This window comes from Homo sapiens, chromosome 6 (genome assembly GCF_000001405.40).
Source record: "Homo sapiens chromosome 6, GRCh38.p14 Primary Assembly".
NCBI classification, from domain to species: domain Eukaryota; kingdom Metazoa; phylum Chordata; class Mammalia; order Primates; family Hominidae; genus Homo; species Homo sapiens.
The window spans coordinates 109,507,326-109,525,121 of NC_000006.12; the positions used below are offsets into that span (position 1 = coordinate 109,507,326).

General features: G+C 38.8%; 1 protein-coding gene across 17 annotated transcripts in view, besides 3 other annotated features; it reads right to left on the reverse strand.

Annotated features, from left to right (window-relative positions):
- The window catches only part of AK9 (adenylate kinase 9), a 198,348-nt gene that overhangs the window by 14,471 nt on the left and 166,081 nt on the right, over nucleotides 1-17,796 (reverse strand). For 14 of the 17 annotated variants that reach the window (XR_942337.3, XM_047418304.1, XM_011535552.3 and 11 more), the window contains 4 exons: nucleotides 9,105-9,317; nucleotides 8,532-8,750; nucleotides 6,899-7,112; nucleotides 1,854-2,070 (listed from right to left, as the gene is read on the reverse strand). Coding sequence is in view for 16 of the 17 variants with exons in the window: in XM_047418304.1 (XP_047274260.1) it covers nucleotides 1,854-2,070; nucleotides 6,899-7,112; nucleotides 8,532-8,750; nucleotides 9,105-9,317 (863 nt within the window). In the remaining variant the exon portion in view is untranslated. Of the gene's footprint in view, nucleotides 1-1,853; nucleotides 2,071-6,898; nucleotides 7,113-8,531; nucleotides 8,751-9,104; nucleotides 9,318-17,796 lie in introns of those variants that run through there. The other 3 variants (NM_001145128.3, XM_006715376.4, XM_011535556.4) reach the window with 2 other exon arrangements.
- Nucleotides 463-988: an enhancer, noted in NCBI's record as "OCT4-NANOG-H3K27ac hESC enhancer chr6:109828991-109829516 (GRCh37/hg19 assembly coordinates)". NCBI's record gives its function as "activates a minimal SCP1, AML or CMV promoter by ChIP-STARR-seq in naive H9 embryonic stem cells {active_cell/tissue: H9 hESC(naive)}" and the evidence as "EXISTENCE:reporter gene assay evidence [ECO:0000049][PMID:30033119]".
- Nucleotides 989-1,514: an enhancer, noted in NCBI's record as "OCT4-NANOG-H3K27ac hESC enhancer chr6:109829517-109830042 (GRCh37/hg19 assembly coordinates)". NCBI's record gives its function as "activates a minimal SCP1, AML or CMV promoter by ChIP-STARR-seq in naive H9 embryonic stem cells {active_cell/tissue: H9 hESC(naive)}" and the evidence as "EXISTENCE:reporter gene assay evidence [ECO:0000049][PMID:30033119]".
- Nucleotides 6,299-6,804: an enhancer, noted in NCBI's record as "OCT4-NANOG-H3K27ac hESC enhancer chr6:109834827-109835332 (GRCh37/hg19 assembly coordinates)". NCBI's record gives its function as "activates a minimal SCP1, AML or CMV promoter by ChIP-STARR-seq in naive H9 embryonic stem cells {active_cell/tissue: H9 hESC(naive)}" and the evidence as "EXISTENCE:reporter gene assay evidence [ECO:0000049][PMID:30033119]".

Below are 17,796 nucleotides of genomic sequence, written 5' to 3' on the forward strand. Positions count from 1 at the left end.
AGAGACTAAGCCAATATGGAAAAAAAAAAAGTGTGCTCCATGCTTGCTTTTTGTAGTAAATGCTCTGTGAGGAGGCTGGGAGTGCAGCTGGGGGAGAGTTGGTGAGAGTGGCCCTATAATATTTGAGTGGGAATCATTCCATCAGGACCTATGATGCATGCCTCTGAGCAGAAATGACAAGGAAAATTTAAACTAGTTCAATAGGTTGAGATAATGAGATTGTCACTATCAAACTGAGAGGAGGAAAAAAAAAGGCTGGTTATAGCTTCCAGGAGGAGTGGCCCCCAAGCTCAGGAAACTCCCTGTGAGGTGGGAGCAAGCTGGGCATGCTGGCTGGTGGTCATCAGGAAGTTTGGTTTGACCTAAGCCACAGGACCCCCTGCCTCAGTGCTTTCCAGCTGTTAAAGCAAACTAAATACGGCCATACGTCTATATTTGAGTTCTTGTGGATGAACTGTAACCTAGCTTAATAGTCAGACAAGATTGAAAACCTAACTTAGGAGTATGTGCCTGTAACAATAACTGAGTCCTGGCCAATCCCAGCGGCCATACTTCAACCACTCATAGACTGCTAAGTGTTTAAACTGTGTTCAAATAAGGCAAACACCAACCTGTAACCAGTCCAGCTGTTTCTGTATCTCACTGCCAATTTCTGTACATCATTTCCCTTTTTTGTCTATAAATCTTCTTCCACCATGTGGCTTCGCTGGAGTCTCCATGAATCTGCTGTGATTCTGGGGGCTGCCCGATTTGTGAATTGTTCATTGCTTAAACTCCTTTGAATTTAATTCAGCTGAAGTTTTTCTTTTATAACAGCTGAGTCTCTAGGCACTGGCCTACAATTCTACAGCAGAGGGGATTGTTGGCTAGGCTGGCCTCATAGAGAATGTATGAGGGTGCAATTGTTGTTTTTTTAATCAAGAGTAGCTCAACTTCTTTGTCCTGTGAAGAGTCACTTGAGTGACCCTCAGGATTAGGGAAATTCAGGGTGAATGAGCAGTCATTGTCCTGGTATTAAGGTGGAATGAAATCTTTTTGACTCAACCATGATTGCCTCACTGAGGTCCTTCTTATGCAAAGCTGAACACCAGGGAGGAGGTAATTCAATCTGGGTAAGTCCCGGGCCTTTTCTGGGGATAAAGTCTGACACCCCAGAAGCTGCTCCCCAGTAAATGAACTCGAGAACTGTTCAAGGACTTAATTATGGGTCACAGACAAGGAAAGTCAAAGAGGCTTCTAATAGAAAACCTTGAGTAAATCAGGGGGGTTCTAGGTCAGTGACCTGTGCTCAAGACCAGGGCTTCAGGTTTCATGGGGAGGGCTTTTACTACTGGGTATGGCCCGTGGCTGTGCTGGAGGAGCAAAGGTGAGAAGTGTAAATGGAAGAGACAGCTCAAGTGCATAGCTTTCTTGTCCAAATGTGGTGTTAAGGGAGAGGCACTGCTACCCGTGCAGAGAGCTGGGCCAGACATAGACCATCTCCACTGGACCAGCCCCTGGGGGATGGGGGAGGGCCACTTCTCCATAACTTCATGGGGCAGTGAGAAGAACTCCTGGAGTGTGGAAGTCACATCAGCCTCCTTTGTTGAAGTCTGAAGGCTTTTGGACAACTCAGGGGTTGCTGGAGAGAGTGAAGGGGCCTGCCTGCTAATCTGGCATGTGAATTTTCAAGCCAAGTTTTTGCTTGACAGAAAATTCAAATATGTAACCATATAGGTGCCCAGAGTTTGAGAGAAGTAGATCACACCCTTTATAAGAGCTTTAAGCCCCATGTAAGTGTTTTAAATCACGAGCGAGCAGTTTCTTGAAAGATTTAACTCCCTCTGTCCCATCCTCTCACCCCATTCACTTACCCTGCAGTATTGCACACACTTTCCATCAGAGAAAGTTCTAAGGCTTGAATAGCCAGTTCATCAGGTGCTGTCATTCCTTTATGAAGATGCCAATTTAACATAAGTGCCAGCTCTGTTTCCGGGTGATTGTTTAGTACATAACGCAAAGCTCCTCCTATTGATAAATGCTTTAACCCATATTCACTTGTAATTTTTTTGGCAACTGAAAAACATAAAACTTTTAAATTAAATTAAATGATTTAGATTCAGGGGGGACATGTGCAGTTTTGTTACATGGGTATATTGTGTGATGCTCAGGTTTGGGCTTCTAATGATCCTGTCCCCCAAGTAGCAAACATAGTGATGGCAGTGGCTGCTGCCATCACACTGGCTGCAGCTGCCCAAACCATGCTGCAGACCCAGGCCTCCTGCTCTATGGAGCAGGCAGCAGCCTCATCCTCCTGGGTGTGGCTACAGTCACTTAAACTGCGGCTATGGGTCTGAGCCTCCCTGTGCTCTTGGAGGCAGCCAGGAGCAGGTAAGACCTGCCCTCTTGGGTGTAGCTGCAGCCACCTGACCCACGGCTGCAGCTCTGGGCCTCCTGCTCCATGGAGCAGGCAGGAGCTGCGGACAAGCAGGAACCCTGCCCCTTGTGAGTTGGTGGGGTGGGAGCTCCCTGGGTGCAGCTTGGGGGGTTTTCCCAGGTGCAGGACCCAGGCATCTCTGCATCTCTGCAGCCTGCATCCACAGGGGCCTGGGAACCTCCCCAACCCCTGCAGGCTCAGGGGTGTCTGCTCCCGCTGCCTGGCCTCTCTCTGCTCCTGGCCCTACTCCCATCTCTGAGCAGGGGTTGGGGCCAAGCCCCAGGGGCCATTGATTCCTGGCAGATTGATTCCTGGGCAGAAGGGGGTGGGTCCCCAGTAAGGCCCCAGCTTCAGGCCAGGGAGGGCCTGAAGGCTGGGGGCTGGGATGCCGGTCTGTGGACAGGAGTGGGGACTCGTGGTGCCTCTTCTGGGCCTACCCAGGGCCACCCATGGACCAATCAGCAGGCACTTCCTCCCCTCTGAGGTCTATAAAAGCCCTGGGCTCAGCCAGAGCGTGGGAGAGGACGACCAGAGGATGAAGAGGGCAGAGAGATAACAGGATGACCAGCTGCAGAAAGGAGTACCCTCTCTGTTGACAGTGGAGTACCCTCTCTGTTGATAGCTGGAGAGGACAGGACGACCAACTGCAGAGAGGATACTCCTCTCTGCTGATAGCTGGAGATGACAGAACAACCAGTTGCAGAGAGGAACTACCCTCTCTGCTGAGAGCTGCAGAGATGACCTGCCAGCAGATAGGAGCCACCCTCTCCAGGGCCTCCTCTCTGCTGAGAGCAGCAGACATCAGGACAACCAGTAGCAGAGAGGAGCTACCCTCTCCAGGGCCTCTTCTCTGCTGAGAACTGAACACTGGACAGATGACCTGCCTAAGTAGAGGAGTCACCCACTGTGGGTCTCCTCTGAGCTGCTACAACACTCAATTCATGTTTGTCTTGTTCACTCTTCACTTGTCTGCCTACCTCATTCTTCCTGGATGCAGGACAAGAATTTGGGCAAAAGTGCTGCAGCCACAGAGGTTTCAAGCCAGAAAAGATCCAACCCAAAGATACCAGAACAGTAGTACCCAATAGATAGTAAAAAACAAAACTCTAAATTTATTTCATTTCACAAATTTATCAGTTCACCTTAGTTTTAGACTCTGGCTAATGATATCAACAGCAAGCTAATTTTCACATTTCTCAATGAAATTTCAAAAATTAAAATTGCCCTATTTTACAGAACTAATAACTGTCAAAGGTCAGTCATTAACAGTACTTCAGGTATGTGGCTGATAGATCTGGTTAATGAACCAAATCTGCTTGTTTTTTTTTTTTTTTTTTCCTTAACAAACCAATTTTAAGGGTTTTCTTTTTTCTGCATGAGGTGGCAAAATTTTTGAGAGCTTTGCAAGTCATCTTTTATGTACTCTTACTATCTGGTAGTATGCCCCAAATAACAATATAATATTCCTGTTTCACTGAATTGTATCATTCCCCTTTCTGTCCATTTATGGACTCCATGATGCAACCAGCATAGCATACCCTATACAGTTAGATCTCAGTTAATCCTCTAGGAAATAATTTTTAAAATGTATAATGGCACACTTGACATTTTAATAGTGACTTACAGCCTATGAGGAATTTTTCTTCTGTGACTTTATTTGATATTTTTAACTATTTCATCAGGTGGGTGGAATGGATATTGAAATTCCAGTTTTATAGATGAGGGGAACTGATTTGTCCAAGGTTACATAGATGTTGCCACTGGCTGAAAGAAGACTCACACTGGCTTCTCCTGAGTGAGACAACAGACAAATGGCTTCTAGTAGCTAGTAAATGTGGGTGTGCTCTGTTGTGTGTATATTCCTTGCCTGAGCACTGTGTGGAGATAGCAGTGGGTGGAGGATACTCAGAACCCTACTCATCCCATAAGGACGATGATTGACCAGGGACCACCATCAGGACCACCCAATAAAGAAGTTCCTATGAGAGCCACAGAGCATATAACTTCAGCTTTGCACAAATGCTGGAACGAAATCTGTTTTTTTTAAAGTTCTAACAATAATTAGGCTCCTAAAATTTGACACCTTATTTAAAAATCAACCACCATTTCAACAAAAAAATGAGATATCAGGTAATCTACATGTTCACCTTGTGCTCTGGATGTGGGATCTTATTTTGCATGTCAACGTTCTGCTGTCTTTGGAAAATATCATTATCTTTGTGAACATTTAGGATATGATTATGTCAGAGGCGTGCAAACAAGAGCAACTCCATCTTGAGTAGGGGCTGGGTAAATAAGGCTGAGACATACTGGGCTGCATTCCCAGACAGTTAAGGCATTCTAAGTCACAGGAAGAGACAGAAGGTCAGCACAAGATACAGGTCATAAAGACCTTGCTGATAAAACAGATTGCAGTAATGAAGCCTGCTAAAACCCACCAAAACCAAGATGGCAATGAGAGTGACCTCTGGTTGTCCTCACTGCCACACTCTCACCAGTGCCATGACAGTTTACAAATGCCGTGGCAACATCAGGAAGTTACCCTATGTGGTCTAAAATGGGGAGACATAAATAATCCACCCCTTGTTTAGCATATCATCAATAAATAACCATAAAAATGGGCAACCAGAAACCCTGGGGGCTGCTGTGTCTATGGAGTAGCCATTCCTTCACTTTCCTAATAAACTTGCTTTCACTGTACTCTATGGACTCGCCTTGAATTCTTTCTTGCACGAGATCCAAGAACCTTCTCTTGAGGTTTGGTTCTGGACCCCTTTCCTGTAACAATTATAGACTCTTTTGTCATGTTAAGAACTTTATAAAGCCAAAATAAACTTTTCATCTGAAGAGCTGGAACATAAAATTCCCTTATCTCTCTTCTTTGTTCTCTATTCAGTCAGTCATTAAGACTTATTGTTTTCCTTGGAAATGTATCCTATATCTGCCCTTTCCATTCTGTTCTCATTGTGACCACCCACTGTTCTTGTTGTTATCATGTCATCTTGAAATACTACAACCAACCAAGTTTTGGACTATTTACCTTAAAGTCCAAAGTTACACAAAACATTACAGGAATATAGTTTATCAAATGCCTTTCCAGAAATGATTAAGATAATTGATTTACTATTATTACTTGTTTTGAGACAGGCTCTCACTCTGTTGCCTAGGGTGGAGTACAGTGGCACAATCATGGCTCACTGTAGCCTCAATTTCCTTGGCTCAAGTGGTCCTCCCACCTCAGCCTCCTAAATAGTTGGGACTACAGGCATGTGCCACCATTCCCAGCTAATGTTTTAATTTTTTTATGGATATGAGGTCTCACTATGTTACCCAGGCTGGTCCTGAACTCCTGGGCTCAAGTAATCCTCCCACCTTGGCCTCCCAAAGTGCTGGGATTACAGGCATGAGCCACTGTGCCTAGTATAGTAAATTATATTTATAAAATATTTTCATATACTTTATATACTTAACATATTTGACTATAATTATGAATATTAGTTTGTAATTTCTTGTATTGTCTTGGTTAGGTTTTGATATTAGGGTCATGTTAATTAAAAAATGGATTTGTATCCTATATGCCTTTTTGACTGTATGAACCATATTCCTTAATAAAAAAGAAAATAAAAATAACTTGGGAAACTTACTCTTTCCCCTTGCCTATGGGAGAGCTTATAAAAATACAGGCATTATCTCTTGAGTTTTTAGTTCTTTGAAAATTTCCTATAATTTTTGTCTAAAACAATTTGATTCTGGGCCATTTCAGAGTTGGGTTATATTTTCGAATGCCTTCTCTTCGATGGTTATTGGTCTATTTAGGTTTTCTATCTCGTTTTGAGTCAGTCTTGATAGTTGGTTTTCTGAAGAAGTGGCACTAGTTTTCAGTCATTCTCACAGGATTAACAAGAATTCTAGACAGAAATACAGTTAAAATAAGCCTGAATCAGGCTGCACCTTTGACCCACTTCCTTGTAACTGAAAGTCACATAGCAGTAGTTACTGACCACTGGCATCCCCATCATTCCTATAAATAGGATTTCTGATGTCAGATGCACAAGGCTTTTGTTTAAGATAGATAGGATCTCTGATGTTAGAATAATAAGGCTATTGTTAAGGAATTCCTTAAGCAGAACCTAAATGCCAGCAGAATAGCTGACACCAACAGGAGGTTTAAAACCCCCACCGAATCAGCAGGAGAAGTCAGTTTCTTCATCTCCCTGTCCCATGACTTCACCCTGCATTCTTCAGCCAATCAATGATTTTTGCACTTCAATTCAGCCCACTCCAAAACTCTTAAAAACCCTAGCCCCAGATTCCTCAGGGAGACGGATTGGAGATTTCCTCCTGTCTCCTCACTCAGCCACCCTACGATTAAATGTCTTTTTCTGCTGCAACCCAGTGTCTTGGTGAATTGACCTGCCATGTGCATTGGGTACAAGCAGATTCTTTTATGCTTGAGGAAAACAAAGGCAAACATACGCTCACCTGTAGTTTTCCCAGATTTTGGAGGCCCCACAATTATAATCCTAATGGGCACAGTAGGCTTAGGTTTGGGTTGGCGGATATATTTGATTGGGTTCTTCATAAATTTTTCTTTTGTTTCTTTACTAGATAAAAAATAAATATACTGACGATGGATTACAGGATAAATTGGATTCTCTGCATTTTCAACTGGCTTGATTGTCTCTCCTTCACTTAGCTGCAACATATACACAGTTGAATTTGAAAGTTAGTTTGAATTTTTACAGCACTTCCCTGAAACATATTTGAAAAAAACAATTCGTGACATAAGAAAAAAAAATTCCTTACAGAATAAGAAAACTAATTATAATCAAAGGTTAATATTAAACAACTGTGGAAAAGTACACATTATTTTACAGCCGTATGTAATGAATGCAATAGTTCTTAATTGGCCTTCAGTTTATGACAATTATAGTCCTTCTACTTCATTTATAGTGTGTTTAGTGTATACTGAATGTTTCTGTCAAACAGCCTAAGGTTGTTTGCATTTATTCACAGGCCAATTCATCCTCACAAAGAGGTCCATTCCTAAGGTGATGTTATGGATTGAATTGTTTCTCCCTTACCTCCTCAATTTCTGTTTGAGGCCCTAGCACCCCAAGTGACTATATTTGAAGACAGGGCCTTTAATAAAGGAGGAAATTAAGGTTAAATGAAGTCAGAAGGATGGAACCTGAATCTGGTGGGACTGGTGTCCTTACAAGAGGAGGAAGAGACATCAGGGTGGGCACACAGAAAAGGCCACGTGGGGACACAGATAGAAGGTGGCCAACTGCAAGTTAAGGAGAGAGGTCTTGCCTTGTCAGAAAAACCAACCCTGCTGGCACCTTGATCTTGAACTTTTAGCCTTTAGAACTGTGAGAAAATAATTTCTGTTGTTTAAGCTACCAAGTGGTATTTTGTAACGGCAGCCAGAGATGACTAATACGATTGGGTTCTTGGGTTATCTTTTAGAGGTATACTAGTAGGGCAAATCCCACTGGGTTCTCTTCTATATTTTTGTGTAGTTCAAATCCCACTCACATAAACATTAAGAGCTATCATGAAAGGGAAAAATACCCATAAAAGGCAACCTAAGGTGTGGGTAGGAATGAAGTTGGAGGAGTGGTGCCCCATCTTTGCACTGGTGATGATGAAGACTGGGCAATTGATCAATGCTACGTTTGAATATCTTTTTATAGCATCAGATGGGCAAGTGTCAGCCATCCCTGAACTTGACAGAGTAGGTGTGAAACAGTATGGCAATATTGCTCCTCCCTGAGAGCTACCTCAAGACAGTTGTTACAGATCAATGGTAGTGTCAACATTATAATTCTTGGGCTAGAGTGAAGTTCATGGATGGGAGTAAATGCTAGAGATAAGGAGAAACTCAGGGGGAGGTAGGGGTGTCTGCTCTATGTTACACAGTTGGTGATAAAAGAAAAGCTGAAAGTTTAATGATTCCATTTTAAATCCCAAAGTATTTTTATAGCTAGATGAGACTACTACACAATACTTACAATTTTTGAAATTATCCAGTCTTTTTCCTTTAAAAAAGACATACCTTTGAAAAAAATAAATAAGGAACATGGCTTTCAGGTGCGTTTGCTGAAATTACCTTTACAGGGTCCCAATAGCCGAATGAGCTTATATACTTGTAGGTAAAGGTGAGCATTTTCTGGGCAAGGGGTGCTGGTATTGGATGACATTTCTCAAAAATGCTTGCACGATTTTCCACCAGTGGTTTCAGTTTCATATTCAATGTATATTGTACAATGTGATTTCTCCGAGCTCCATTAATGGAAATTATTGGTATCAAATACCTCTCAAGTTCATCCTGATAAGAAAAGTCATAAAAACAAATATATTTAGTGAGAAAAAGGCTGGTAGTATTTAGTCACAGCATGTAGACACTGCTGGTGACTGACTACTTCAGTCCAGAACACAAATATTTTTCAGCTTCCAAGTGGCTGCATGTTGGTGACTAAACTTACTCTGACCCTCTGTGGCTTCCACGTTGCTCTTAATTTATGGACTTATTGCATAATTGTTAAATGATACCGATAAAAGGAAATACAGCCCTAAAATATACATTTTTTAAATGTTTAAAGAAATGGCATGAACTAAATTGCTTTAGTCTGATTCTCAAATATTACTTTTGAATTATAAAAAGCAAAGGAAAAGTAATAACCTGTATTATTTGTAAATTATGTGTATCTGCTTCAAATTTTTCTCCTAGTTCACCTCTCAGGCGCTCAATTGCATCAGTTTCCTGTTCTTCATCTTCCTCGCCACTCATCTCTTCCTCATCTTTTGGAAACTCATCTTCAAGGATGTTTTCAATATCATCATTGTCTTCTTCAAGTTCTTCCTCACTAATCTCTTCATCATCTCTAACAACATTCTAAGGAAGAAAATATTCCCTTTTACTATACATATAAAATATGTAACAAAAGACACTATTAACAAATCATCTGGAATATTTTGTAATGGCTCGATATTGGTTGGTATTGCATGTTGACATTCATCTAGTAACGCAATAAGGTTTTAAATATCTGACACTTTTGGGGGTGTTATAGAACACTTTTTTGTCACGTTGCCAGAATTATTTTTCTGGTTCCTTCTCATTTAGGTAGACTATTTCTTCTAATTATTTTTGAATTTATTTTGGATTTGACTGGTTTTTAAAAATTTCTTTTTTTTCTCCTTGAGGATGTGACTTTATGTTTATAGTTGCTTGCAACTTCTGCGTTCCTTCATTGGTGAAGCCTCTGTGCTTGAGTTCCTTGGTGGTAGTCTTTGGATGATGGCTTTCTCAGTTGCTGGTTGTAGTAGCAGTGTGCTCAATGTGGAGCGGGTTCACTGTCTCAGTTTTCTGCCTGGCTCCTGGTGTAGGCTATAGCCCACTGCTTCTTTCAAAGGGTCTGTGGTTTCTTTCAGTTTTCCTGTTAAGTTCCTGTGTTGCTTCTTTGAAAAACGTTCAGTGTGTATCTCTACACCCTATTTTGTCTTTCCAAGTTGGGGAGGCATGCTAACACTGCCTCCAACCTGCCATCTTGGAAAAATTGTTTAAAAATTTCTTTGGTACTCAGAATTTTAATACTTTCAAGACTCTGGCCCCAAAGTGGTCCCATAAATAAATACAGAGACAAAATATTAAATGTTATTTATGTCTATGATTGTCAAAATGTTACATGTTTTTGATGGTCTTCAGGAACAATATTTAATGCAGTTCAAAGAGTATAAAACACTAGCTATCTTAACTGGGACAAGATGTTTCCTTACCTGTAAAATAAGAATAATAAAAGTATCTCACAGGGTTGCTGGGAGCATTAAATTAGTTAATACATGCAAAGCCGTTAGAAAAATGTCTGGCATATGGTAAGTATGTGAACGTTACCTATTATTATGCTCTTATAGCTATTATTGTCACTTTGTGTAAAGCAGTGTACAAATAGAACAGCAGATGCCTTTTCGGAGGCTATAGCCTATCTGAGAAAACGAGAATAATACATTAATGATTATTAAAGACCATGACAGGATATTGGTACTAAGTCGTATTGTGTAGGCTTTAAGTGCTATAGTTCACTTTGCACAAAACTGAACCCTATAATAATCATCCTCTGCACTGCCTCCACACCGTTCTCCCTGTAGTATTCCTTGTTTCAGTTGGAGAACTGCCCTCCAGCCTGAAACCTGGGAGTTATCTAGACTCCCAGGATGAGAGTCCTGGGTGGGAAGGGATGGGGGGTTACAAAGGACTGTAATCCTAAATAATGCTCAACACTCCCTCCCTTGTGGCCCCTCTCCACTGTCTGCCTTCACATTGTCTCTTGCCTGCAATCTTCTGGCTACTTCCTAATCTTTCTAAATGACCAGGCCTCTGGTCATTTAGTTTAGTGAAAAGTGCCTGGAGATGGGATTCGGGTGTGTGAGGGCAGGGAGGAAGATGAGAGCATCAGGACCCATTCCTGCTCCTGCCCAAGCTCCCCTTTCTCCAAAAGGAGCTTGGCTATGGAGCAGGGTTTTTCAGTTCTGGTTCGTTTTAAAGAAGTTTCAGATCATTTAGCCTCCTTACGACTTGTTCCTTTTTATTATATCTTGTCAATTTTCTATCCTGATATTTAATTTTCTAAGGATCTTTGCAAGTATAGTGGGATAGGTCTACACTACAAGCTGGGACATCTTAGTTCCAGATGAACTTGTTCTCACCTCTCTGGCTCCACTGAATAGCTCCTACAACTTTTTATTAAAAATTGAAATTGTACAATTTTAAAAAGAAATTCATTTTTATTATAAAGAAATTAAATTATATAGTATTGTATAAGATTAAAAAGTAGAAGTCTTTCATCACACTCCTATCTCTATTTCTACCCTCCTACCTGGAATTAATTTTGGTTAACAATTTGGTTAGGATCCTTACAAATGTTTTACTATATATATATTTAATTACATCATATTTTAAACATAAATGGGATTATTTTATTTTCTACAACTTTAAAAAAATTAGCAATATATTTAAATTTCTTTCCATATCAGAACATACATCTCAATTTTTTTTCAATGAATTAAAAAAAATTTCAGCTTTTATTTTAGATTCGGGGTACGTGTGCAGGCTTGTTACAAGGGTATATTGCATGATGCTGAAGTTTGGGGTATGATTGATTGTGTCACCCGGATAGTCAGCATAGTACTCAATAGTTATTTTTTCAACCCTCTCCCCAACCCTCCTCCTTCTAGGTGTTCTGAGTGTCTATTATTGCCATCTTTATGTCCATGAGTACCCAGTGTTTAGCTCCTACTTATAAATGAGAATACAGGGTATTTGGTTTTCTGTTCCTGTGTTAATTTGCTCAGGATAATGGCTTCCAGCTGCATCCACATTGCTGCAAAGGATATGACTTTGTTCTTTTTTATGGTCATGTAGTATTCTACGGTATTATACATATGTAGCACATTTCCTTTACCCAGTCCACCACTGATGAGCCCCTATGTTAATTCCATGTCTTTGCTATTGTGAATAGGGCTATGATGAACATATGAGTGGATGTGTATTTTTGGTAGAACAATTTATTTTCTTTTGTATATATACCCAGTAATGGGATTGTTGGGTCGAATGGTATTTCTGTTTTGAGTTATCTGAGAAATCTTCAAACTGCCTTCCACAGTGGCTCAGCTAATTTACATTCCCCTCAAGAGTGTATAAGTATTCCCTTTTCTTTGCAGCTTCACTAGTATCTGTTGTTTTTTGACTTTTTAATAATAGCCATTCTAGGTCAGGCATGGTGGTTCATACCTGTGATTCCAGCACTTTGGGAGGCTGAGGCTGGCAGATTGCTTGAGACCAGGAGTTTGAAAACAGCCTGGGCAAAATGGTTAAACCCTGTCTCTCCGAAAGTAAAAAATAAAAAAATAGCTAACTGTGTTTCTATCTGCAGTCCCAGCTACTTGGAGGCTGAGACAGGAGGACTGCTTGAGCCCTGGAGGTTGAGGCTGCAGTGAGCTGTGATGGTGCCACTGCACTCCATCCTGTCTCAAAAAAAAAAAAAAATAGCCATTCTGACTGGTGTGAGATGGTATCTCACTGTGGTTTTGATTTGCATTTCTCTGATGATTAGTGACACTGAGCATTTGTTCAGATGTTGGCTGCATGTATGTCTTCTTTTGAAAAGTGTCTGTTCACACCTTTTGCCCACTTTTTAATGGGGTTATTTGGTTTTTGCTTGTTCAATTGTTTAAGTTCCTTATAGATTTGGAATATTAACCTTTGTCAGATGCATAGTTTGTGAATATTTTCTCCTATTCTTTAGGTTGCCTGTTTATTCTGTTGATAGTTTCTTTTGCTGTGCAGAAGCTCCATAGTCTTAGGTCCTTGTGGGAGCTAAGCTCCCACTTGTCAATTTTTGTTTTTGGTACAATTACTTTTGAGGACCTAGTCATAATTATTTCCCAAAGCCAATGTCCAGAATGGTGTTTCCCAGGTTTTCTTCTAGGAATCATATAGTCTGAGGTCTCACATTTACATCTTTAATTTATCTTGAGTTAATTGTTTTATATGGTGAAAGGTAGGCATCCAGTTTCATTCTTCTGCATATGAATAGCCAGCTAACCTGGCACCATTTATTGAATAGGGTATCCTTTCTCTATTATTTTTTGTTGTTGTTGTTGGCCTTGTTGATCAGATGGTTGTAGGTGTATAGCTTTGTTTCTGAGTTTTGTATTCTGTTCCATTGGTCTATGTGTCTGTTTTTGTACTGGTATCATGCTGTTTTGATTACTGTAATCTAAGAGTATAAAATTAGGTAGTGTGATGCCTCTGGCTTCTTTTTTCTTGGGATTGTTTTGGCTATTTGGGGCTTCTGTTTTGGTTCCATATGAATTTTAGAATAGTTTAAAAAATCTGTGAAGGATGTTATTGGTAGTTTGATAGGAATACCATTGAATTTGTAGATTGAATAGTATGGCCATTTTAACAATACTGATTCTTCCAGTCCATGAGTATGAAATGTTTTTTCATTTGTTTTGTGTTGTCTCTGATTTCTTTCAGCAGTGTTTTGTAGTTCTCCTTGGAGAGATTTTTCACTTCCTTGGTTAGCTGTACTCTTAGGTATTTTATTCTTTTGGTGGCTATTGTAAATGGGATTGCATTCTTGATTTGGCTCTAAGCTTAAATGTTACTAGTATAAAGGCAACTAATTTTGTGCATTGATTTTTGTATCCTGAAATTTTACTGAAGTTGTTTATTAGTTTCAGTGACCTTTTGGCAGAGTCTTTAGGGTTTTACAGGTATAGAATTATATTGTCAGTAAAGAGATAGTTTAACTTCTTTTCTTATTTGGATGCGTTTCTTTCTCTTCACTGATTGTTCTTTGCATCTTAATATTTTTAACAGCCACATAGTATTTCATAGTATCACAGTTCATTTAATCATTCTTCTCTTTTAAAAATGTGTGTTTTTTCTATAGAAACCAGTTTAGAAAGTAACAAAACAAACAGTAAACGGTAATCTCTTTTGACCCTTGTGATATTTGGTTCCTCTTTCCTGCCAGTGATGATGAGGAATTTAGCTAACTTACATCACTCCTCTTTCTGCCTGTTGCCCAGTTTTAGTCATATTTTTGCTCTTTATTTTGTAATCGAGTGCTTATAACTTTAAATATTATCTCCAAATCTCTGTTTTATTGAGCTGTCCTCTTTAGATGTCTGTTTTGATTCCCCATCAAGAAGATGTCCTTACTCTTCCTTCCAAGTCTCCCTTTCTTCAGTTTCTAAGTATTTTGTCTCCAATATTACTACATTTATGTCCCTGTCCTATAATTGGAGATCAGTATTTGGTGCTTCATGTAGAAATTGATTCTAAAAATTAAAAGTAAGCAAACAGCATTTGATTGATTCTGAATATGGAAATCCAATAAACAGCACCTGCTATGTTAAATTACATAACCCTTATTCACTACAGCTGGAGTTAGTAATACAAGGAATGCAATTCTGTATCAAGAAACATGCACTATTCTAAGTAGAATGTTTCTAGTATCAAGACCAAGCATCATTTTTTCTTCTTATTCAAAATCATGCTACAATTACATTTGCCCCATATTTGAATAATACTCTTATTGTCTCTCCCCACCCCCATGTTTCTAGGGTTTTTTCGTTTGTTTTATTGTTGTTTATTTTGTGAGCAGAAGCAGTGTTATTCACCATATCAATTGGCTACTCTTTTCAGGAAGAATATAAAAGAGGCTAATTTTCACTGATCTTAAGTATCTGAAAATTTTTCCATTTCATTTCTCTCATTATAAACAGTTTGGCTAAGTACAGAGTTCTAGGCTGAAAACCATTTTCACTTAGAATTTTACAAGTGTTGTCTTTGTCTTTTACTATCCAGTATTGTTACTGAGAAGTCTGATACAAGTCTTACCTCCATTCCTTTGTAGATATCCTTTTAAAATTTTAGAAACAAGTAGGAGCTTCTCTTTATACCCGCCAATCTCAAATTTCATAAGGATGTGTCTAATGCACATTTCTTTTTATTTATTCTGCTTGGCATTCCATGGGCCCTTTCAATTTGAAGACCTCCTGCTCTCTTCAATACTGGGAACTTTTCTTCTAACATTTCTTAGAATATTTCCTTCTTTATTTTCTGTTTCCATTGTTTGAAATGCATATTGGATGTTGACCTTCCTGGATTGACCTCATAGATCTTCAGTTTTTTTCTTTTGTATTTCCTATCTCTTGCACTTTGTTTTATATTTGAGAAACTTCTTGGACTTTTCCTTTTTCTCAATTTAACTTTTAACTTATTTTAGTTTTCATTAACTCTTTTTTGTTCTCTCACTTTTTATAGCATCTTCTTCCTGTTTTATGGATACAAGTTTCTTCTTGAATTTTCTGAGAGAAAGTGAAATTCTTTTAATATTTAATGATGTTTCCTGGGTTGTCCACTTGTTTTATGATCAATTGTTCTGTTTGTTTATGTTGGTTTTTCCTTTTGTTGGTGATTTTCCTCAAGTATATGGTAACCCTTGGTTGGCTATTCATTTTTATAAATGAAGGATTAAATTGATTAGTTCAGAGCAACTGCATGCTGTCTGTATATGAGCAGGTAATGTTGTATCACACTTCTATTTAAGATGTGAAGATGAGAAGATGCAGGAAGCCTGGATCTTGCCCCAAAAATAAAAGGTATCAACCAACATTCTGTGGACCTAGAATCTTCCAGACAGATTATTTCATCCCTTTAGAAATGATTTACCTTTTTTCTTTATGGGGCAAATGTCGCTGTTAAGTGAAGGGCTGGTAGAGGTGACCTTAAGGAATTTTTCTGCAATTTACCCTCTTACACTTTCTAGATATTCAAATTATATACAAATAATGAGTTTTATTCTTACTTTTTAATATGTATGCTATTTCTTTTTCTTACTTTGCTTTGGCTCACACCTGTAGTACAATGTTGATTTTAAAAAAATCCTAAAAATATCCTAAAAATCTTCACAAAAGATCATCTAAGAGACTCTCAGGTTAATTCTTCCTAGGGAAATTTTTTTTTTCATTTTTCTGTAGATGGTCATTTAATCTTGTAGAACAGTGTTGTTTTCCCTGACATCACGCATCTCTTAGTCCTCAAGTTGGAAGATGTATATTCTAAACTTCATGGCCTTGAAGATCTGCCTCAAATATGATGAAATAAGTTTATTTAACCTCTAGCAGATAATAATAAACTGTAAACAACACTCCTCTCTCTCTATTATTTTTGAGGTCTTTGGAGCAAGAAAAGCAGATTTTGAAGAGCAGTCAAAATTTGGAGGAAGCAACTGGCATAGGGTGAGTTTTCTGATTTTGTTCATTTGCCGAGAGGGCAGTTTCAGAGTAGTGGTGGTTTGGTGTGACTAAAACTTTGGTAGAAAGCCAACTGACTTTCTGGATGGAGCAACCAGAGAAAGGAGCCAAAACCAGGGCCACTGGAGAGTGAGGGTAAATGCCAGAGATGAGAGAGCCAGAGAAGGAAATACCAAAGTCAATTTGTCCAAGACTCTGGCTAGCCTGTGAACCATGTACATATGGGCGGTTCAAGAACAGTATACACTGAGCTGCCATTCATTGCAGGCATGACAGAATTTTAAAGTTTATCTTACCAAGTTAATTGCCTGCTAAAACAAAAACCTCAGTTCTCTTTGGAGGTACATAACAAAGTCCAGAATCCCCACAATATAACATTTACAATTCTAGAACATAATCCAAAGTTACTCAAAATATGAAGAATTATGAAAATTTGACCCATCCTCATAAAGAAAGATAATTGTCAAATACCCAGCCCAGGTGTTAGGATCACCAAACAAGAACTTTTAAAGCAGTTATTATTACAATGATCAATGAGGAAAAGGAAAATACACTTATAATAAATGAACAGATAGGAAATCTCAGGAGAGAAATAGAAAATATAGAAACAAACCAAATGGAAATTTTAGAACTAAAAATACAATATTTGAAATTAAAAAAATTGTTGGTTGGGCTTAAACTATTTACCTTAAAGAAGAGAGAGAAAAAAGATGGAAAAAAATCAACAAAGTTCCCAGGACATGTGGAACAACAGCAAAGGTCTAACCTATGTATAACTGGGGTACTATAAGGAGAAGACAAAGAGTAAATGAGGCAGAAAAAATGTCTAAAGAAATAATGTCTAAAGTTTCTCCAAATTTAGTGAAAGACACAAATTTACAGATTAAAGAAGCTTAGTGAACTCCAAACTAAATATGAAGAAAATGATATGTAGGTACACCATAACCAAACTGTTGAAAAGCAAAGATACAGAGAAAAGAAAGACAATAGGTGAACAATAATTCAGATGTCCAGCATTCCCATCCTTCTGATTTCCATCATACCAGAGGAATGAATGAAGAACATCAGAAATAGTAAATATCTGGATAAATGGAAAACAAGGCTTACTTTCCTATTAATTTTTTGAAAATACATGTGACTATTTAATATAAACATTAGAACTATTTCTTTTGAGGGTTGTAATGTATTCAGTTGTAAAACACATCACAACTAGAGCATAAAGGATGTTAGTGGGTTGGAGATGGGTGGGGCAAATGGAGCTAGACAGTTCTAAGGTTTTTACAATATTACATTGAATAATATTGACCCTAAGTAGAATGTGAAAAGCCAAGGATGTGTTTGTAATTCTAGCATAACTACTAAAAAACGAAGCATAGAGTTATACTTAAAAAGGCAATAGATTTTCTTCTAGGGTTTTTATGGTTTCAGGTCTTACATTTAAATCTTTAATCCATTTTGATTTTTGTATATGGTAAAAGAAAGGGGTCCAGGTTCATTCTTCTGCATATGGATAACCAGTTATCCCAGCACCATTTATTTACTAGGGA